The sequence below is a fragment of the Homo sapiens genome, chromosome 4 (assembly GCF_000001405.40).
Source record: "Homo sapiens chromosome 4, GRCh38.p14 Primary Assembly".
Classification (NCBI taxonomy): domain Eukaryota; kingdom Metazoa; phylum Chordata; class Mammalia; order Primates; family Hominidae; genus Homo; species Homo sapiens.
The window spans coordinates 177,669,055-177,693,240 of record NC_000004.12 but is presented as its reverse complement, the minus strand read 5'-3'; the positions used below and the strand labels follow the sequence as shown (position 1 = coordinate 177,693,240).

Genomic DNA, 24,186 nt, shown 5'->3' with positions numbered 1-24,186 from the left:
GGCCACAATAATCTGTTTTTCATGTCTATAATTTTGTCATTTTTTTACAATGTTATATACATAGAATCACATATAACCTTTTGAGAATGTCTTTTTCAAAATTCCCTTGACATCTCAACGTATAATTGTGTGTGTCAGCAATTTTATTTGATGCATTTGGGTGTTTGTTTGTTTGTTTACATTTCTTTTAATTGTGCTTCTTGAATTGCTTGTTATTCTATGGTGTGGATGTCCCACAAAACCTCTAGGAAGACCCAACCCTTTTGATACCTTGATTTCAAACTTCTATAATCCAGAACTGAGAGACAATACATTTCCTTTGATTAAGCCACCAACTTTGTGGTACTTTGTTATGGCAGCCCTACCACACTAATAAATTAACTCTGACTTGTATCTGTTTTACACGATTGAGAGAAGACTGTTAAAATGACTATACATGAGTGAGGAGAATGTTAAAATCTCCTTGTTATTTTATCTCCTTGTTATTTTTTCTTTAACTTTTGTTAGGTTTTGCCATGTATATTTTAAACTACCATTGCATACACACAAATTTAGAATTGTAATGTCTTTCTGTTGAATTCATACATTTATCATAATGAAATATGCCTACGTATTTCTTATACTATTTCTCACCATAAACACTACTTTATCTGGTATCTGGTATCGTTACACAAGATTGGTTAATATTTTGCATAATATGGAATTCTCCATTGTCAGTTATTGCTTTCAGAACTTGAAAAATGTGATTCCTTTTCCTTCTTTCTTTCATTGCTTCTGCTAAAAAAACAGCTGCCACTCTTTTTTTCTTTCTTTCTCTCTGTTAAGGGAAATTTTTTTTTTCCGGCTGCTATGAAGATTTTATTTTTCTCTTTAGTTCAGCTATTTTATATGATGCATTTACATGTGATTTTCTTTGTATTTCTTCTAATTGGGGTCCATCATGCTTCTTGCATTGTATATTTGATGTCTATGCCTATCTTGGTAAATTTGCAGGAAATATTATGTCAAATATTGCTTCTGCCCTAGTCTTCTTACTCTGGAACTCAAATTACATTTTTAAAAAAGATCTGTTCATTGTATTCCCTAAATTTTACATGCCTTTCTGAATTTCCCATCCTATTTCTATACGTGTTTCAAGTATTCTGACTTTTTTCAGTTTGCTATTTCTCCTGCAATGTTTAATACATTAATAAGTCTAGCTTTTTAATTCTTATATTCAATTATTCTATTTCCTTAGTTTGAAAATGATAAGTTGACTTATAGATCCCAGTCCTCCAATAAGTCTACATCTTTTATTTTTTAACTTAATAATCATTATTAAAGTCCCTTATTTATAAATAATTAGACTACCTAGATCACCTGTGGATCTATTTTGATAGTCTGTATTTTTAATTTTGGTTTCCATACATTTTATAGACATGTCTGGTCATTTTTAATTAATGACATACATGGTATATAATAATTGGGGAGTCCCTGATTTATACTCTTTCTCAAAAGAGGGCTAATCTTCGTGCATGCCTAGAGTATTTTGGCAGATCACCCTGATCTAGTCAAAGGAAGGTATGAAGCTTTCTTAAAGTTGGGCTTTCTTTGGTCAACTCTTACCTCTAAGGCATAAACCTTGCTCTTAGGTTATATCCTTTCTGCGATCTTAATTGAAAGCTGAGTGCTCATGGGGGTCATTCAATTTGTTCATCTCTACACTTTTGCTTCATTTTCCCTATAACCAAGACTGTTGGAATATTTGTTCAATTCTTTAGATCTCAAATATGGCTTGCTATTTGTTTTCTGGTGTCTTTTCCTGAACACCACACAGGAAGTGTGTGGTGGAAGGAGGTGTGGAGGAAGTGACCAAAGGCCTTCACGCAGTCTCTCACTTCCCTGCAGTTACTTTTTCCCTAAAATTCAATTGTTCTTGGAGGGTCCAAACGCCACCTTCTGTTTCCTCAGCACAATGAGACTTTCGTGACCCCAGGCTTTCGACTTCTGCTCTGCCACCTCACCCATGGCATTGACAAAGCCCTGAGGAAAATCTCAGAGATAGATAAATATAGGACTCACATAAATCTGCCTCCCTTGTTTCCAGAATTTGTAGCCCCGTAGTTCTGTCTGCCATGGTGGTTCCCTAATGCTTTAAAAGAGTGGACTCACGTACTAATCTTTTCTATTTTTTAGGGGAGGGTTAGTCTCACACAAGCTGCCTTGTTATAGAGGACATTGGAAACCACTGGATTATGTGAGTTTTTCATCTGTTGAATAAATGTGGTATTCCTGAATGCTGACAAATATCTGGTATACTTATCTCAATCTGTAGGATCACTATTTTCTCCTTTTCTATTCCCAAATTTGCTGTCACTTATTCACTGTTTCCGACAGGTTTACGACACCTTACCTTTAGGCAGCTAGAAAAGTTGCCAGAACCAATTTAACTTAAAAGTTTTTTAAAAAATAATTGTGATGTTTCCAGAGTAACACAATGAATGCCCCTCCCCAATTCAGCAGCTTAGAATTTCATGGTAAACCGATTCCATATTTGGTATAACAATTTTTTATTATTATTATTTTGAGACGGAATCTCACTCTGTCGCCCAGGCTGGAGTGCAGTGGCGCGATCTCAGCTCACTGCAAGCTCCGCCTCCCGGGTTCAAGCGCTTCTCCAGCCTCAGCCTCCCGAGTAGCTGGGACTACAAGGCACGTGCTATAACAACTTCTAACACTTATAATAAGCATATTTTCCTTTAAAAATATCCAAACATGTTCTTAGAGAAACAATCTTTGAGCATTTTTGTATGGTCCTTTCATGATGCTACATTAAGCCTATGTTGAAAATATGTGAGTAAGTAACCCTCAGGAAGTCAGTAGAACATGTTAAGTGCTCTGAGCTGGGTTATTTAAAGTCCACTGTCAAGGCCGGGCGCGGTGGCTCACGCCTGTAATCCCAGCACTTTGGGAGGCCGAGGCGGGCGGATCACAAGGTCAGGAGATCGAGACCATCCTGGCTAACATGGTGAAACCCCGTCTCTACTAAAAATACAAAAAATTAGCCAGGCGTGGTGGCAGACACCTGTAGTCCCAGCTACTCGGGAGGCTGAGGAAGGAGAATGGCGTGAACCCGGGAGGCAGAGCTTGCAGTGAGCAGAGCTTGCAGTGAGCCGAGATCGTGCCACTGCACTCCAGCCTGGGCGACAGAGGGAGACTCCATCTAAAAAAAAAAAAAAAAAAAAAAATCCGCTATCAAAAAGTACTTGAACTGTCTATAACTCAGCTAGCTCAAGACATAATCACATAGTGGAACTTTACATCCCATATGCTAAAGTAGCTCATTGAACAAAAAAGGTGTACTAATGTCTACTATGCAGAGAAATCCACTGCTAATATTTTGACTCTCAGCCCAGTGTAATCTGCAGAGTCTGTCATGGTAAACATGAGTTTTCAAAAAATTATCCAGATAAATCAGCCCATGAGAGATTGTTTCCTACAATGAAGGCTTTCTTATCAAAGAAAATGTTTGCCATGAAAAATGGGAGGAGGTAGGGGTGTTGGGGTATAAAAACTTAGAAATAGATTATTCTACTTACAATTGCACTGGGTTTCATTCCTATTCATGCCTATGAAATAGGAATGCAAGTTTATGGGGATCTGCAAGATAGATCAGCACTTTAAATCGCATCTGTTCAGTTTTACTGCAAGCTGATGTCTTATTAAAACCAAACAACAGCATACTTTAGAGCCAAAAATTATTACAAGACCGCCACACCAGGAAAAATATGAAACAAACAAAACAAGATATAGTGAATAGAGCTACTTATTAAGCATGAAAATGATCCTCATCTGGGATTATTTGGATGCAATGTTAGAGGCTTTTTATTCCTCAGTTGTCATTCCTGCAATAAATACTAAATTACAGTTGTATTTTTCCTAGTAATACACAGAGATCCCATCTTAGAGCAAGAATTGGAGGAAGTATTATAGACCTGGATGATTTTTATAAAAGAGAGGAAAAATAGAAAAAAGGTTGATTTATGAAGCAGTAAGTAAAAAATAATGACACGCGTTATATATGGAAGTTGGAAGTAATCTCAGAGCAACTATTTTAAAGAAACTGTATTTTGTTTTGTTTTTTTTTTTCAAGCATGGAGGCAGGATAATAAGCCCAATACAGACTTAGCTCAAATTCTAACAGATTTCAATAAATTGCTTGTATAGGGCCAAAAAAAAGGAAGCATCTATTTCATAATGTCAAGAAATACAAACCCCAAATCTTGAAAATGAACAGTTTTATTTATTGGTGAAGGCACTTTATGCAGCTAACTTATGGAGGAGATTAATCTATTACTATAATTTTTATGATTTTAATAAAGTAGAATTTACTTTTGTGAAACATCCTATTATTAATCATTGGAAGGTGTTACATTATTTTAATTAAAATAAATGACCTGATAATGCGTGAATATATGAAATCATGAATAGTTAATCGTTCAAAATGCAATGATATTGTGAAGTACCTGTCTCAAAATCTGTGGTCAAATGCATGTACATAAATATAATTGCCTTGAAAATTTTGGATATTCCTCTCTTGGTAATTTAACAAATAATCATCAATTTTATTTGGAACTATAGACTTCATTAGCTTTATTCCTATTGATAACTTTAAAGTTTGGTCTGAATTCAGAATTAATGGACAGCTTGCTAGGAGACTAACTTAACAGAACTTCATATCTGGAATAACTACAGAAATGTGCAAGGTTGTGAGGTTAAACCTGATGGAACTAACTTAATATTCTTCAACTGACAAAGAATAAGAGAAACTTAATGGGAAACATTTTTTTAAAAGTGAGACATCTCATGATGCCAACACTGAAGTTCAGTAGAGGGAGGCCTACTAGGTTTTCACTTATTAATCAATGCATCCATTCATTATGGGGCAGTCATCTACAAATATTTATTTACTATCCACTGTATTATAAACTAGGTTTCTTATACCTCACTCCAGCCTGCCTTGATCACTTGATCATCAACATGTTTCTTTTATTTTGCCTATATTAACTTCTATTAAAGTTTTCAAATTTTAAAACAGTGATATCCTCTGTTTGAGGATCCCAGTCCCAAAATAGACATGCTTTCATCTAAAAAATGTTTCTCTACCTAATATGAAAACACCAAATAATATGTTTTCCTTAGCCTTCTTGGGGTGCTAAAACAAAATACCAAGACTTGATGTCTTAAGCAATAGATACTTGTCTTTCACAGTTCTGGTGACTGGAAAATCCAAGATCAAGATGATGGCAGATTTATTTCCAGATGAGGGTCTAATTCCCAGCTTGTAACTACCTTCTAGCTGTGCGTTCACATGGCCCTTCCAAGGAGCTCTCTGTCTCCTTCTTCTTATAAGGGTAATAATCTCATCATAAGGCTCTCTGTCTCAAGATCTAAACCTAATCACCTCCCAAAGGCCCCACCTCCAAACACCATCACATTGGGGGTTAGGGCTTCCACATAAGAATTTGGGGGAGCCACCATCATTCAGTACATAGTAATCTTTATTAAGATTTTATTAAGTTCTTAATATGTCTCCCATTTTTCTTAATTTCCATGAGTTTGTCTTTCTGAAAACATTATCAAATGCCTACTATGTCCTAGGAACTGTGATAAATACAAGACATGGAGCTTGAACCTTTCAAGATCATGAAGAATTTACAATTTTGTGGCAGATAAATTGTTACAAATTACCATAGTACTGGTTATAGCACTGAAATATAAATATTTTTTAAATTATATAAGAACACAAAAGACAAACTAATTAATTATGACTGGAGTACCCAGAACAAGGAAAGGTTTACAAGAAGAGTTAAGAATTAACCTAAGTCATAATCCATGCCCAGTGGAGGCAAGTGGAAAACATTTAGCAGGCAATATGGGCAAAGATCACTTTTATGCAAACAGATCATGTCATTTGGAAATGATCTACTTAGAAATGATGAATAGTGTTGTGAAGCTATATCCAAAAGTGTGTGATGTTTACTCACCCACATCCTTTTTGGTACTTACAGAAGGTAAGAATGGAAAGGGATGTTTAGATCCAACTATAAAGTGTCATAAATGGTACAACAAAGAGCTCAGGATCAGACTATAAAGTGTCATAAATGGTCCACCAAAGAGCTCAGGCTGTGTCTGGTAGACAATGGGAAACCAACCAAATTTTTTAGGTGGTAAATAAGTTAGGTTAACAAATTATTAGAATATTAAAATAATGGCTAATATGTATGCTTTTGATATGCCTTCTCTGTACACTTCTATAAACTTTACATGCAATAACATTTATTTCATGCTCACCACAACTTTATAAAGTAAAAACTGGTATTTTCTTCAATTTGTAGATGAAGAAATTAAGGACTAGAATCACTGGTGCAAGATCACACTGGGGAAAAGTGACAGAACCAAATTTCAAACTCCAGTCTTTCTGCTTCTAGAGATTGAACTACTAACATCTGCATTATATAAAATTAAGTCTCTCAAGGTAGTTTGTGAAACGTAACATACAAATAAGTGATTAAAATTTTTGGTGATACCCTCTTGTTCCTCTTTCTTCAACACCCTAGATTTGAGATATTCTTGTTTTAGAGTATGGGGGTCAGAGTTGTGGGGGACAATAGACATCTATTGAACCTCTCTAAACATTTTTCTTGAACACAAATAACTAGAAGCAATAAGGGAAAGCTAAATAATATCTCCCATAAAAAAATCTATTACTACACACCACTGGATTTAATGCTTGCTCTAAAAAATTATTGATATGCTCAATATCTTCCTTTTAATTTACCAAGCAGCTTCCAGAGAATTTAGGTGAGGTAGATAATAAAAGAGATAATAAGTGGCACATGAAAGGTGATGAAGTTTAAATTTAAGAACATATTTTGAAAATCCTGCTAATAAATGTTGACTATTTCCAGGCTCTTTATTCATCTTGTAGTACAGCAACAAGATGGCAGCATTACCAGCAATTCAAAATAGATACAAATTTAAAATGATGTTATTTGATATATAGCCATGAAGAAGGATCTTTGTTCCATTTTATTATCTGTTTCCTATGGTTAATAACCTTAAATATTGCCTTGATTCTATCCACTCTGTTCTTGATGTATAATTTCCAAACTCAAAGCTAGATTGAGGCATACGATTCTCACTCTTACATACGTTTTTCTTTCTGAAAAATGTTTTTTATTGTGAAAACATATTTTTCCTGATCCTTGTTTAAAACCATGACACAAATTAATCAATCTACCTCCACACCATCTGCGGCCCCCTAAAAAGAAGCATAACTTTTCATCAAAGATTAGCACATTACTCATCCAACTAGATTATAGAAATGATAAAAACCCATGTCAGCAGGCTCTTAGGGTGTTCAGTGGTTACGTTAGAGAAGTTGTAAAATAATACAATTATTGGATGATGATGTGATATTATCTTATAAATATTTATCCAACTAATAACCTTATAAATTGATAATTCAAGAATTTATACTAATGTATCATTTCCATATCAAATAATTATTTTAATAGGCATCAATGTTTTATATAAAATTCTAATCTGAGAACTTAATATAAACCTGAAATTGTAACGTCATTGAATATTAGAAGTTCCAGTTGTACACAATTGCTCTCCTTTCTATTACAATCTTTCTTTTTTTTTCTTTTCATTCTCAGTTCTCACATACAGGCTATATAAATTAGAGTTGCCAAGGAACAAATATCACTAAAGCTAACCAATACATAAATAAGCAAATAAATTAAATTAATGCAATAAAAGGAACAAAATAGAAATAAAAGGAAATACTTGTGGAAACCCAGCTTTGGTATTACATTAAAACAGCTACCATCCAATCCACACTTTAATTTGCTATATTCTCTTTAATCCCTTTTAGTATAATGGCATAATTCAAGTTAAACAGTAAATTAAAACTATGTAACAAAAGCAAAGCCAAGGTATTTAAGGTTGAAGATCAAAACTAAGAAATGCACAATAGAATATACGAATATTTCTTATAACTAAGTGATCAGGGGAAGAGAAAATACTTGGGATTTGACTTAATTTTCAAGATTGAACAGGCTATATGTGGAGCAAATAATTCAATCACAAAGGAAAGAGCCATCAGCTTGTACCTAGTTTGCATAAAAGCCATATCATTGCATATTACAATGTTCCACAATATTCTGACTATTTTATAAACAACCACAGTTCTTTATATGGAACCTTGAATTCCAGTCCACTGCAAATTAAAATACTATCATTATTGAGTTGATTTTTTCCAAAGACATCAAAAATATTTATCACCTCCCTACGACTTTGATATCAAAATAAGGAGACTTTTCCACTTTAAGCCACTTTACATAGATAATTTCTTTGAGTTCAAATCAATGTAAAAATTGTCTGGTTAACCAGCATCACACATTAATTAATAATTTAAGAGGTAGAGTTTTTGAGTTTGGCTTAATGTGTATTTTATATTAGAATAGCATTAGCACATAATTTAGAACTGGTATTAGCTTTTTATAATTAGGTGGCACTGCCTGCCTTATTTGATTAACTTTAAAGTATTGCAAAATCTAATTAACAGAAGGTATCTAAAACAAAGTTTCATTGAAATCTGAAAGCATGCTTTAAGTAGAATTGCTCTATAGTAATATAAACTCATTTATGTATAAAAATGTATATGCTTTAATATACATAAATATATACTTTCTAAAGCCAAAGAAAAAGTAGTGTAGGGGGACACATGAAATTCTTCAGAATGGTTCCTTCTACAAAGAACGGGTATGTTTGTATATGCATCTGTGAGTGGAGAAAGCTTCTACTTTTTTATTCTACTTTCTCTATTTTCATTTTTATATAAAAACTTATATTTTTATGTATTACATATGTAATATTTTCATAGAAGAACTTAGAGTGAAGAATCTATGGTAATCTCTCACAGGTCAGACTGGAAAGGCAGTGAAACCAACTTTCAGTCAACTCTTCCAGTGTGTAAGTTTACTGAGGGCAGGGAATTTTTTTATTTCTATGCATTCTCTCCTTGATGCCAGTGGAGTAATTTATACAAAATAGGTTTTTGATAACTGAACATATTTGAACACATAAGTGAAGAAATAAATACAAGTCAGCAGCAGATAATGATCAGAAAATCTGACCTTGCAATTATCACAGAAGAGTTACTGTGAAATGCAAAAACAAGGGCCTGTGACTGGAGAAGAGCACAGGCATTATTACTCAGCAGCAGAGTCCCAGTGCACAGGGTGTTGGAATTGAACTAGAAATAAAGTCTTGAAGAAACCAGGAGAGGAACTCCGTCCTGGAAGCAAGAAGACACATTCTGTTCCTACAAGTCTTAAATGGGTCTAGCAATTGAAACTTCGTCATAATAAACAAGGTTGAAAAACTATGCCCATTAAATAGATGGCATCAAGGTTGATGCAGTGCTGAGTTTAGGGAGAAGAACGAAATTCCTCTTTGTCTTTCTGCTCCCAGAAAATGACCTGGTCACAGGGCCTTTGTTCAATATGAAGCCAGCCACCATAAATTAAGCCATTGCAGGATATACAGCAGAATTAGAAAGCCAGAAAAGAGACCTGTCTCCCCACCCAGCCCAACTCCCTCAATCTATAAGATATATGTGAAACCAGCAGTACAATAGTAGAGGTGACGAAAACGGATTCTAGAGGGGAGATTTTCACTTGTCATGTCTTCCAGCCTGCTAGAATAATAGAGAAAAATGTTTAGTGTTTTGGACATGTCCCAAATGTTTTCAGTATTTTCCCACTCCTACTGCTATTTCTGTAATTCAGGGCTAATCATTCTTTGACAATACTATTTCAGTCTTGTGCTAACTGGCCTCCCTGAGGCCAGTCTATCCCTCCTCCAATCCAAACACTATACCGCTCCTACACTCACATTTCAAAAACCTCAAACATCATTACCTGTTTGAATTTCTCAATAACTCCCTGTTACACACCAGAAGTTTAATTTTTTTTTTCTTCGCGATGGAGTTTTGCTCTTGTCGCCCAGGCTGGAGTGCAGTGGTGCGATCTCAGCTCACTGAAACCTCCACCTCTTGGGTTCAAGTGATTCTCCTGCCTCAGCCTCCCAAGTAGCTGGGATTACAGGCACCTGCCACCATGCCTGGCTAATTTTTGTATTTTTAGTAGAGATGGTGTTTCATCACGTTGGCCAGGCTGGTCTCGAACTCCTGACCTCAGGTGATCCGCCCGCCTCGGCCTCCCAAAGTGCTGGGATTACAGGCATGAGCCACCACTGCACCCGGCCCAGAAGTTCAATTTCTTAAGGTGTCATAGTAGGTCTGAGTGGATTAAAATGCTGTAGCTATAATTTAGTTATACACAGTGAAGTACAATACAATCTGTAGATATTAAGTTTTTAAACACTGAGGCAGAAATAGGAAATAATGTGATTAATTCTAAGGAAAAAAGTTCTCCTAATGAAAGACTTGAAAAAGAAAGATGACTATGATTGGAATAGAGATTGGAAAAAAATTGCTTAAGCAAAGATTAAGGCTGACTGAAGCAGTGAGTTGAAAATATGTTCATTTTAAGGAAACAGCAGACAATATAGTTAATTCGGATACAGACTGATGGAGTATTTCATGTTTTGATTGAAAAAAATGGATATAACTCATGAAAGAATAGGAAGTTTCAATGAGCTTTTGAGATCAAGGCAAATGATGTAATCAGCATTCTACAGCTCAAGTATAATCATGCATCACTTAATGATGAGGATATACTTTGAGAAACGTGTCCTCAGACAATTTTGTCATTGTGCAAACCACATAGAGTGTACTTACACAAACCTAGATGGTGTAGCCTACTACACACCTAGTATATGGTATAGCCTATTACTCCTAGGCTACAAATCTGTACAGCAGGTTACTCTACTAAATACTGTAAACAATTGGAACACAATAGTAAGTATTTCTGTATCTAAACTTATCTAAACATGGAAAATGTACAGTAAAAATATGGTAGAAAAGATAAAAAGTGGTACACCTGGACAGGGCACTTACCATGAATGTGGTTTGCAGGACAGGAAGCTGCCCTGGGTGTGCAAGTGAGTGAGTGGTGAGTGAATGTGAAGGCCTAGGACATGACTGTACAACACTGTAGACTCTGTAAACACTGTACACTCAGACCACGCTACATTTATTTTAAAAATTCTTCTTTCTTCAATAATAAATTAACTGTGGCTTACTGTAACTCTTTTGCTTTATAAACATTTTAATGTTTTAAACTTTTTGACTCTTTTGAAGAAACACTTAGCTTAAAACACAAACACATTGTACACCTGTACAAAAATATTTTCTTTATATCCTTATTTTATAAGCTTCTGCATATTTTTTTATTTTTTAAGCTTCTTTATTAAAAACTAAGATGTAAGCCTGGTACAGTGGCTCATGCCTGTAATCTCAGCACTTTGGGAGGCCGAGGTGGGCAGATCACCTGAGGTCAAGGGTTCAAGACCAGCCTGGCCAACATGGTGAAACCCCGTATCTACTAAAAATACAAAACTTAGCTGGGCATGGTGGCATGCACTTGTAACGCCAGCTACTTGAGCAACTGAGGCCAGAGAATCGCTTGAACCTGGGAGGAGGAGGTTGCAATGAGCCAAGACTGCGCCACTACACTCCAGCCTGGGCGACAGAGCAAGACTCCAAGACTCCGTCTAAAAAAAAAAAAAAAAAACAAAAAAACGAAGACACAAACACACACATTAGTCTAGGCCTACACAGGGTAAGGATCATCAGTATCACTGTCTTCCACCTCCACATCCTGTCCCACTTGTAAGTCTTCAGGGCACCAACACGCATGGAGCTATCATCTCCTGTAATAACAATGCCTTCTTCTGGAATACCTACTGAAGGACTTGCTATTTAACAGGCTGTTTACAGTTACCTGAGGCTATTTTAGAGTTAACTTTTTTCTAAGTAGAAAGAGAACACTCTAAGATAATGGTAAAAAGTTTTGTATAATAAATACATAACCATTTATTAGAATTATCAAGTGTTTTGTACTGTACATAATTGTATTGCCATACTTTTATATGACTGACAGTGCAATAGGTGTGTTTACACCAGCATCACTATAGAAATGTGAGTAATGTCTTGTGCTACAATATTACAATGGCTATGACAGCATTAGCAATAGCAATTTTTCAACTCCATTCATTATTACCTTATATTACCACTGTTGTATATGCAATCCATCCTTGACCAAAATACCATTATGACCGGTGCATGGTTGTATTCAATTAAGTTTCAATTGTATCTTGAGTTGGCCAGAAGTGGATTCAGTTTACTCCAATCTAACTAGACAGACTTACATGGATACGAGAAAGTGAACTTCTGGTTTAAAAAATAATAAACATCCCTATTACTAAGAGGCATTAGATGGGGGTGAAGTAAATAATAGGATTATGGTCTTTGCTCCTACATGTAATAAAGGTACATGTTCCTAGTTCAAGCACTTTCCTTCAGGATGGATGTGACTCATGGAAGAAATGACATTAGTGAGTGATGGATTGTAATTTTGCCATCAGGGAAACTTCATCTTTAGATTCCAGTACAAAAGGTTCAAATTGAGGCTCAAAACTAATAAAAACCAGCAAAATACAGACTACAAGAATCACACCCCATGTTCTCACTTTCTGTTACTTTCATTTTCAGTTACTACCACCTGGAGATGAGGGTTGTTTCTTACCGACTTACTTTTCAGTGACACTTATTAAAAGCCAGTGCTGGCTGGACACAGTGGCCCACACCTGTAATCCCAGCACCTTTGGAGACCAAGGCAAGAGGATTACTTGAGTTCAGCAGCTTGAGACCAGCCTGGGCAACGTAGGGAGACCTTGTCTCTACTAAAAGTTTAAAAAATTAACCAGGCATGGTGGCACATGCCTGAAGTCCCAGTTACTCAGGAGGCTGAGGTGGGAGGATTGCTCAAACCTGGGAGGTAGAGGCTGCAGTGAGCCATGATCAGGCCACTGCAATCCATCTTGGGAAACAGAGCAAGACCTCTGTCAAACAAACAAACAAACAAAAACACAATGCCTAATAGTTAATGGCTCAACTCTTTATTAAAGGAAAAAATATTTAGAAAAAAATATATGATACTAAAACACTCTGAACTTAGCATTCTTTGATGATCACATGGCAGCCATTTTTGCTTTATCCTACTACTTAGAATAATATGTAATATAGATCACATAAAAATATAAAAATCCTATATAAATTCTACTACTTAGGATCATATATAAATCATGTTTAACTTTCCTTTATTTCATAGCTAGTATATAGTGCAGTGTTTAAGACTGTGGACTCTAAAATCAGAACAATTGAGATCAAATCTTAGCTCTGCTACTTTCTGGCCATGTAATAACATGGCCCAATTATTTAACTTCTCTGATTTCAGTTTTCACATCTCTAAAGTGAGGATAATAAGGGATTCTACTTTACAGTTTATATGGATGAGTAAATGAGTCAATATCTATAAAAGATTTAGACACTGCCAGAGATATAAGAGCTCTCAAGGTGAGGAAAATCACAAAGTGTAATTTTAGGATTCCTCTATCGATATGTAATTATTTCTATTGTCCCTTCTGGGGAACCAGAAATCATCAATACCCTCCACATGGCTACATGGTCAAGTCCGAGTCTTCATCTTACTTAACTCACCAGCACTGGGAAACACTGTCTTCACTTGGCTTCCATTACGTGGTCCTCCTCCTGGTTCTCCTCCTCCCAATGCATCCCTTGGTCTTCTGCTTATTTCACCTTTTCTCAATTGTACAGGAAAGTACCATCAGGTTCAGTGCATCCCCTTTTATCTTTATGTAATTTCACCTAGATAATGATTTATGAATACACTGTTAAGTGATGTTTCCTACATTTAAATCTCCCAGACAGAACTGCCCCTTGAACTCAAAATTCCTATATCCAACTACCTAGAAAAGATCACCACATAAATGGCTAAGAGATAGTCCACCTTCAAAATCTTCCGAACTGAAAATTTGATCTTTCCCTATATCTGTCTTGCCGCAGTCTTTCTGATCTTATTTTACAGCAATGCTAACCTTTTAGTAGTTTAGGGTAAAAGTCTTGAAAATATCCAGGGTCCTCTTTTCTCTAAGGACAGATATCTAGTCCGTCAGTAAAATTTTGCTCCTACCTTCACTCCATATCCCACCAAATATGAGCATTTCATGGCATTTGTACAGCAACTATTTTGGTCTAGGCCTGCATCATCTCTTGCCTAGATTATTTCATCGATTTCAAATTGGCCTCCCTGCTTTCACCCTTCCCTCAATAGTGAGCTAGAAACTCAGTGGCCAAAGGGATAAAATGTAATTCCAATCATGTCACTCTTCTGCTCACAATCCTTGTTGCTCACAGTAAAAATGAAAGCCTTTCAAAGGTCCCACAAGGAAGGGCCCTGTCTGACCAGGCCTTGTTACTTCTCTATATCACCTGCTCCTCTCCTAATAAGTAATAAACAATAACAATGATAGTCCCTTTCATACCTAAAAAGAATAGATTGAGCAACACAAGCAATGCATCTATAACAGAATGAGAGAATCAAAAATTCTATGTCTCACATGGTTAAACAACTTGAGCCATTCCCAAATGGACTCGGCTGGGCGCAGTGGCTCACGCCTATAATCCCAGCACTTTGGGAGGCCGAGGCCAGCGGTTCACGAGGTCAGGAGATCGAGACCATCCTGGCTAACATGGTGAAACCCCATCTCTACTAAAAATACAAAAAAATAGCCAGATGGGGTGGTGGGCGCCTGTAGTCCCAGCTACTCGGGAGCCTGAGGAAGGAGAATGGCGCGAACCTGGGAGGCGGAGGTTGCAGTGAGCCGAGATCGCGCCACTGCACTCCAGCCTGGGTGACAGAGCAAGACTCCGTCTCAAAAAAAAAAAAAAAAAGAAGAAGAAGAATAATATTATTCCACTCTTTCAATGGCCTTTTCTTTTTTCTAGAAGGCCACATATGGGAGAATACATGAAAATGAGTTTGAAAAAGTTACTAAAGATTTTATTATTTTGTCTGGTTTTTGCTGACTTTGCAAAAAACAAGATGGGTATTAGAAGGCAGAAAGAAAGAAAAAGTAGGAAGGAAGGAAGGAAGAAAGGAGGGAGGGAGAGAGGAAGGAGAAAAGAGGAAGAAGAGAGAGGGAGAGAGAGGGAAAGAAAGAGGGAAGGAAGATTGAGACGGGGAAGAAGAGGCCAGGCAGGCATGGTGGCTCATGCCTGTAGTCCCAGCATTTGGGGAGACTGAGGCAGGTGGAATACTTGAAGCCAGGAGTTTGAGATAAACCTGGCCAATCTGGTGAAACCCCAGGTCTACAAAAAATACAAAAAAATTAGCGAGGTGTGGTAGTGCATGCCTTTAGTCCCAGCTACTCTGGAGGCTGAGGTGGGAGGATCATCTGAGCCTGGGAGGCCCAGGCTGCAGTGAGCTGTGATAGGTCCACTGCACTCCAGCCTGGGTGCAGAGAGAGACTGTGTTTCAAAAAAAAAAAAAAAAAAAAAAGAGGGGAAGGAAGAGAGGAAGGAACCAAAGAGAGAAAGAAGGAAGGAAGATATAGATATGCTGCATGCCAATAAACCTAAAATTACTTTGCATAATATTTCTGTATTTATAATACATAAAGCAACAACTCATTCCAAAATAAATTTCACTAATCTATATGTCTTAAATATATGTAAAACCATATATACACTCAACTAAGTTGCAAAACATGTTAAATAATATCAAATATTTCAATATTGATACCTACTGACGCACTACAAGAGTTCCCTAACTGAAGAACTCTGATTATGATTCATAGTAACTAACATATTCTGAAATAATTTATCTATAAATACGGAACTTAAATACAGCTTGCCGATGTACACTTTTACTCAGAAATGATTTTTATTCAAAACCTCATATATTTGACATTCATATGCAAATTTATAACTACCGATGGAATTGTTTTCCTTGTGTTTGAGATGGAGAGCAATCCTGTCTAGCTGCCATACCTGCGGGTTATTAATTAACTTCACATTCACCATTATTAAAATATTTTATTACCCATGATTGAATGTGGTAATGAAAAATAACTACTTGTCACAGGCAAATATTATCAAAAGTGCAATAGGGCAACGAGGGCCACACAACCAAAAATGTAATCCATTTTTCTTTCATGGAAGAATCCAATAAAGCTAGAGACATGCAATAGTATAACTAAATACCTCTTGGTTTATTTGTGGGGGAGAAGGAGAAACTAAGGGAAACAATGACACTATTTTGATATTATTTATCTTTAGGTGCTCCAATAATTCTTGCAATACTTAACATGTCTGGAAACATAGAATCTTTGCCATTTATGGAAAATATGAAAAATAAAGCTAAATTTAGAAAAAGTCACATATTCTAATAAAATATACTAAGGGAATTAGTTCTGGCCATAAGATAAATTGATCACATAAATCTCCAGCAAAATATATTAATAGCTACAGTAAAATCCAATAAAACAAAATTAGCAGCTTTATGCCTCGGGGCACATTCAACTTCTCTTACAGATCCCAACTTCCAGCCACCATTTTCAGCTCAATGCCCTGTCTCTCTGCTTTAAAATGCATTTTGTTTTTAAGAAATCCATTTTTTCTCAAATAAGGAATGTTTGTATTAGAAATGTACAAATGTTTTAAATTAGCATTTGAACAAATAACTAGAGAAAAACTTACATTTACTTGCCTTTCTATCATTTGTAGTTTAAAAATATACCAAAACAAAAATAATGTTTTTAATTCTGGAAGTAATGTTCCCATAGGCATGTCTACTAAATGAAATATTATAATGAAGATATTTTGCAAACTCTAAAGTAATAAAATGTAAGGCAGTATTGTCATTTTATTTGCAAGGAAACACTTAAGACAGAGACTTTGTAATATAAGTTGGCAAACAAAACATTACTAACTGTCCTACAATAAACGTTTTGATTAACAGAACTTTGATATTTTTTAAAAACACTCTTTTGCTGATATATTAAACCACCCAATCTGCTTCCAAAGTAGGCAAATTTATTTTGTTCAGCAAATATCATAGTTACGTATTAGCATAACATTGTTATTAATTTATTATTCACAAGCTTATTTAAGTTGTTAAACAGCTAATCTTTATAATACTTTACATGTAAGATCCACATTATTTATACGAAGAGAATGCATGTCTTCTCACAATGCTGAAGTAGGGTCATTTCAGTTCTTAAGATGCATACTGATGAGATGCACACAAGTTCCTCAGAAGCCAACCAGACTCAAGACATATGTCAAATTACATTCATTTTTCCAATTCTGTGAAGACAAATTAATTTTCACACTATGTTAGAGAAAAGCAAATCACCTTGATCTCCTCAGAAATACCATGTGTAGCCAAAATATAAATTAATTAATTAAATACAATTTTAAAACCACCCACTCTTTTGTTAGTCCCTGTGTCTCCTGTACAGATGCTAGCTTAATGTCCTGTGTACTGACTGAATGTCTGGGTGGCCCAGAGTAAAGACACTTTCTTATCCTTCTCTATCCCTGAAAAGCCATGCTATTCATCACACTGGAAAAGGCAGATATTTCAAGGGGAAACAGTAAGTTGGAAAGAGGGTTTGGATAACAGAGCAGGAAGTCATTTTGTCTTTCTTGAGTCTCACTCTATAGGACTTAGACACCAAGGAGCCCAGGTAAGTTGAGGCTCTTCTTTGGTGAAGGGATGAAAGACTTCACATGAAGCCAAGGACTGTGGTAGGAATATTCTCTGTCCAGGACCTCAAGGAGGCCGGGCGCGGTGGCTAATGCATGTAATCCCAGCACTTTGGGGGGCTAAGGTGGGTGGGTCACGAGGTCAGGAGTTTGAGACCAGCCTGGCCAATATGGTGAAACCCCATCTCTACTAAAAATACAAAAATTAGCCAGGCGTGGTGGTACACATCTGTAATCCCAGCTACTCGGGAGGCTAAGGCAGAAGAATTGCTCGAACCCGACAGGCGGAGGCTGCAGTGAGCTGAGATCATGCCACTGAATTCCAGCCTGGGCGACAGAGTGAGACTCCATCTCAAAAAACAAACAAACAAACAAACAAACAACAAAAAAAAACAGAACCTCAAGGAATAGTTGAGTAAAACTCTGTAGTGTAAACTATTTTTTCTAATTGCATGTTTTTATATTTTCTTGTCTTCTCCAAACATTTAGTTCAGTCTTACTGAAATATTTTCACCTGGCCTATACGTTGCTAAAAAGAATTAAGAAAAGTGTGTCTTCCCAACCTCCTCCTCTTAGGCCAGAGGTTAAATAGGAAGAAACAACTTTCCTGAAATCAAGAAGACAGTGACAGTGGTAATATTCTAAAAAAAAAAAAAAAAAAAAAAATTAAGTCAGGGTAGTGTGGAGAGATGACTAGAATCTTGCTTCTGCATAAGAAAATATTTCCTCTATTGCCAATCTTAGAGTATGTGCATAATGTTATTAAAAAATCAGTGGGTTTTCATTCAGTTGAAGAAATAAGTAAGCATTTTAGGGAGGAGGTATTTTTTGGGTTTTCAGTTTTTTGGGTATTTTTTTGGCTTGTTTAGGTTTTTTTCATAACATTTTCATTCTAGATATTAAGTTAATAACTAGTAGAACTGAATGAAAATTTTTCAACATTTTAGAAGCAACCTTTCATGGATTGACTTGTGATTTGGACCAGCTTAAAAATGATATTTACAGATTCAGGACAACATCCAATCCATCAGAAAACCCTTTGGCTCTACCTTTACCATATACTTGGAATCCAGCCGCTTCTCAACAGCTCCCCTGGTATTATCTAGGTAATCTGCAGCAAAGGCCTCCTAACTCATCCGCCTCGTTATACCCTTATCCCCTGCAGTCTATCTTCAGCACAGCAGCCAGAATGATCATTTAAGTATAAGCCACATCATGCCACTCTGATGAAATACCCAGAAATATTTTTCCACATCAATCTTGGCAAATTCCTTTTGTGGCCTCAGAGAGTATGTATAATCTACACTCCCTTCCCCACCTTTTACATCTCAGAATCCCTCTTCTACTGCTCTCTTGATGACTTTATTCACTTGGCTCCAGTCACAATGACCTCTTCATACTTGCTCCAATACCAAATGTGCTTCCAGCAGCAGGCCTTTTGTACTAACTGTTCCTTCTGCCCGGAAAAAAAAAAATCCCCCTCTTCTCCAATGTATCTGTAAAGCTAAATTCCTCCTTCACATTTTTGACTGTCACCTTCTTAACAGAATCTACCCCAACCAAAGTACTTAAAACTGCAACTCTCCTTACCTACATCCAAACTCCCTAACTTGCTCTAATTTTCCATTTTCAAATCTCCGTGTATTCTTCAAATATGCAGTATAGCTTACTTATATATTATGCTCAGTTTTATCACCTATGATCTGTATTCCATGATAAGTTCCATTGAGTGAAGACATTTTTGTTTTGTTTACTACTACATCTAAAGCGTTTGGAACAGTGTCGAACACACAACAAACACTCAGTAAATTGTTGCTCTAAAAAAATTATGGAAACAGCAGATGCAAACAAGACCACCCTAATCCTAACAAAGAATTCCACAACTGCTGCATAGAGGAGGTGTTCTCATTCATTATTTTAATCCATATTAATAGAGCCTAACTAGGGTCCCGACAGAGTTCCAGGTGTGGAAATATAATGAAGTGAAAAAGCTAACATGGTCCCGGACTACATAAGCCCATGTGGGAGACACAAAAAAATTTAAAAATCTCAAAAGTAAGCTTAATTTGTTTTAATACAGCCACAGGCAGGTACACCAGTGCTCTAGGGAGATTCGACTTAAGGAAGAATGCCAACAGGCTTACCTAAGGAAATTACAACTGAGGGGAACTCTGAGGGATGAGTGTGAGTGATTAAAATAGAAAAAAAGGAAAGAAAATTTCATGAGAATGGCATAACATGTGCAAAGATCCAGTAGTGAAAGAAAACACATTTCTTAGGCATCTAATTGATGACAATGGCGGCAAGAGCTAAAAAACCAAATGAAGCCCGGGAGGTGAATGGTCCCTTGCAGTCATGTAATTTGACAGGCATGAGGATGATCTTTGTAAATCATGGTAAAGATTTACACCTTTACACTAAGAGAAATCAGGAGCTATTAAAGGATGTAAGTGTATGTGTATGCATTCATGTATGTATGATAAAGGACACTGGACTAGTTATTGACAACATCAAATCCTGGTTTGAAAATAGGGCTGTGATAACCAGACATCCAGATGCATTAGAAGGAAGTTGGACTCCTTCCTCACACGCTACACAAAAATTAACTCAAAATGGATCAGAGTTGAGCTGGGCGCAGTGGTCACGCCTGTAATCCCAGCACTTTGGGAGGCCGAGGTAGGCGGATCACAAGGTCAGGAGATGGAGACCATCCTGGCCAAGGTGGTGAAATCCCGTCTCTACTAAAAATACAAAAATTAGCTGGGCATGGTGGTGTATGCCTGTAATCCCAGCTATTCAGGAGGCTGAGGCAGGAGAATCACTTGACCCAGAGAGTCGGAGGTTACAGTGAGCCGAGATCCCGCCACCGCACTCCAGCCTGGGCGACACAGCAAGACTCTGTCTCAAAAAAATAAAAATAAAAATACAAAGGATCAGAGTCTTAAATGTAACACTTAGAAGAAATAGAGGAGTAATGCTTGCCTCGGCAGCACATATACTAAAACTGGAAAATAGAGGAGTAAATTGTTGTGACCTGGGGTTAGACAAAGGCTTTTTTGATATGACATCAAAGTACAAGCAACAAAAGAAAAATTAGGATTTCATAAAAATTAAAAACTTTTCTCCTTCAATAAATGATGTCAAAAAAGTAAAAAGAAAAATTACACAAAATGGCAGAAAATATCCTAAAGACAACTCAACAAAGGACAACACAGTTAAAAAAAGAATAGGAAAAGAATTTGAATCAAAGATATGCAGACAGCTGTTATGGTTTAAATGTTTCTGTCGCCCTCCAATTACACATGTTGAAACCCTAAGCCACAAAGTGATAGTATTAGGAAGTGGGGACTTTTGGGAGGTGGTTAGGTCATGAGGACAGAGCCCTCATGAATGGGATTAGTGACTATAAAAATGGTTGAAGGCTGGGCATGGTGGCTCACACCTGTCATCCCAGCACTTTTGGAGGCTGAGGTGGGCAGATTACCTGAGGTCAGGAGTTCAAGACAACACTGGCCAACATGGTGAAACCCCGTCTCTAGTAAAAAGACAAAAATTAGCCAGGTGTGGTGGCAGGCACCTATAATGCCAGTTACTCAGGAGGCTAAGGCAGGAGAATCAATTGAACCCAGGAGGCGAAGGTTGAAGTGAGCGGAGATCACGCCACTGCACTCCAGCCTGGGTGACAAGAATGAAAGCCATCTCAAAAAATAAAAATAAAAATGGATTGAAGAAGCTTGTCTACCCTTTCCACTGTGTAAAAGCACAGCTACAAGGCACTCTGTCTGTGAGAACAAGAGCTTTCACCAGGTAATGCCAGCACCCTAATCTTGGACTTCCCCGTCTTCATCACTGTAAGAAATGAATACATTTCTTTTGCTTATAAGTTACTCAGTTTAAGGTACTTTGTCATAGCAGCCCAAACAGAAATAAGACAATGGTGAGTAAGCAAAATGTAAGCTCTACATCTTTAGTCATTAGGGAAATGCAAATCAAACCCACTAGGAGGTACCAACTTACTCTTCCAAGAAAATATATATAATCAAAAAGCCACCTAATAACAGTTTTTGGTGGGGAGGATGTGAAGAAATTAGAACCTTCTATGGTTTGAAGGTGTCCTCTCCAAAATTCAGGTGTTGCAACTAAGGGCCAGTGTGATAGTATTAAGAGGTAGAGCCTCAGAGAGGTGATTAGGCCAGGAGAGCTCCCTCATGAATGGAAATAAGGCTGTTACGAAGGAGGCTTTGCACAGTCCTGCTTGCTTACTTGCTCTTCTGCCTTCTGCCATGTGAGGACACAACGTCCCTCCCCCTAATAGTATGCAGCAACAAGGTGCCATCTTGGAAGCTGGGAGCTACCCTCGCCAGACACTAACCCCGTCGGCACCTTGATCGTGAACTTCCCAGCCTCCAGAACTGTGAGAAAACACATTTCTGTTCTTCATAAATTAGAACAGTCTCAGGTATTCTGTTATAGCAGCACAAACAGAATATGACAGTACCCTCAGAAACTGCTGATGGAAATGTGTCATAGTGCAGTGCTTTGGAAAACCGTTCAGCAATCTCTCATAATGTTAAACATAGAGTTTCCATATGATTCAGCAATTTCACTCCAAGGTATATACCAAAGGAAAAACATACAGCCACAAAAAATTTGAACAAGAATGTTTATAGGCCAGGCGCAATGGCTCACTCCTGTAATCCCAACACTTTGGGAGGCCGAGGCAGACGGATTACCTGAAGTCAGGAGTTCAAGACCAGCCTGGCCAATACGGTGAAACCCCATGTCTACTAAAAATACAGAAATTAGCTGGGCATTGTGGCACAGGCCTGTAGTCCTAGCTACTGAGGAGGCTGGGGCAGGAGAGTTGCTTGAACCCAAGAGGCAGAGGTTGCAGTGAGCCAGGATCGTGCCACTGCACTCCAATCTGCGTGACAGTGAGACTCCATCTGAAATAATAATAATAGTAATAATAATAATGTTTATAGCAGCATTATTTGTAACAGTCAAAAATAGAAAAACCCCAAATGTCCATCAACTGATGAACAGATAAACAATGTGATTTAATCATACAAAGGAATATTATTTGTCTATAAAAGAGTATTCAGTACTAATACATGTTACAATATGGGTGAACCTGTAGAACATCATACTAAGTGAAATTAGCCAGTCACAAAAAGTCATATATTTTATTATTCTATTTGTGAAACATCCAGAATAGGCAAATCCATAGACACAGAAAGTAGTTTAGTGGTTGCCAGGGGCTGGAAATGGCTAAAGAGAAAATGCAGAATGACTGCTAATAGGTACAGGTCATTTTTGGTGGGTGATAAAATGTCCTACCATTGATTAACAATTGCACATCTCTGTGAATATACTAAACAATTGAATTGTACACTTGAGGTAAGTAAATTTTGTGGTGTATAAACTCTATTTCAATAAAACTATTATAATAAAAAAACAAAAAGTTAATGATTACTGGCACAGACTGTGGAGTTAGACTGCCTAGTTTTGAGTTCTGGCAGCAGTACCACTTAATTAAACTTGGGTTATTTTACTTGAATTTGAACTTTCTGTGATAGCAGTGCCTGCCTTATATTGCTATTGCTTAGTCTAAATGACACTACACTTAGAAAATGCTAAGATTAGCCGGGCTCGGTGGCTCACGCCTATGATCCCAGCACTTTGGGACCCTAAGGCGGGTTGATCACAAGGTCAGGAGTTCAAGACCAGCTTGGCCAAGATGGTGAAACCTCATCTCTACTAAAAATACAAAAAAATTAGCCTGGCATGGTGGCGGGCGACTGTAATCCCAGCTACTCGGGAGGCTGAAGCAGAGAATTGCTTGAACCTGGGAGGTGGATGTTGCAGTGAGCCACTGCACTCCAGCCTAGGCAACAGAGCGAGGTTCCATCTCAAAAAAAAAAGAAACTGCTAAGATGAAGTCTAGCAAAGTGTAAGCACTAAATAAGTGTTAGCAGTTACTACGACCCACCTCAGCACCCACGTAACACATGACTATACCAGTTTCACCTGGAGCTTGCCAATATGAAAAATGCCATTTTTGAAAGTTGCTAATCATTTTTAAATAACATTTTGTCATTTCTTATACGCAAATACATAAATTCATCTAAGTTCAGAAAAAAAACAGAAAGAGAAAAACATAAAATGTCTAGGTATAATCTTCAAGCTATGTGCATATATAAATAAAACCCTGAAACTTTTCCTCAGAGATAATAAGTAAGTCTAAGTAAGTCTTTGATAAATGGAGAGATTTACCATGAGTCTGGATGAGGAGATCAACTACTGTGGTTCTTTTTTAAATAGTTTATATTTCCAACACAATAACAAATTATTTATTTCTCATCTTTTTTAAAAAACTA

The 24,186-nt window shown here is 36.9% G+C and overlaps 2 long non-coding RNA genes across 14 annotated transcripts in view; one reads left to right on the top strand and one right to left on the bottom strand.

Moving 5' to 3' along the window:
* AGA-DT (AGA divergent transcript) overlaps positions 1 to 24,186 on the bottom strand; it is a 255,397-nt gene that overhangs the window by 4,670 nt on the left and 226,541 nt on the right. For 8 of the 13 annotated variants that reach the window (NR_183786.1, NR_183781.1, NR_183788.1 and 5 more), the window contains one exon: positions 15,962 to 17,404. The exons of 2 other annotated variants lie outside the window; for them this stretch is intronic. This is a non-coding gene — a long non-coding RNA (AGA divergent transcript). Of the gene's footprint in view, positions 1 to 13,735; positions 13,904 to 15,961; positions 17,405 to 22,539; positions 22,753 to 24,186 lie in introns of those variants that run through there. 3 more of the 13 variants (NR_183780.1, NR_183785.1, NR_183778.1) reach the window with 2 other exon arrangements.
* LOC105377559 (uncharacterized) lies at positions 2,132 to 6,568 on the top strand. Its single transcript, XR_939510.3, has 2 exons — positions 2,132 to 2,236; positions 6,378 to 6,568. It is a non-coding gene; the product is annotated as an uncharacterized LOC105377559 (long non-coding RNA).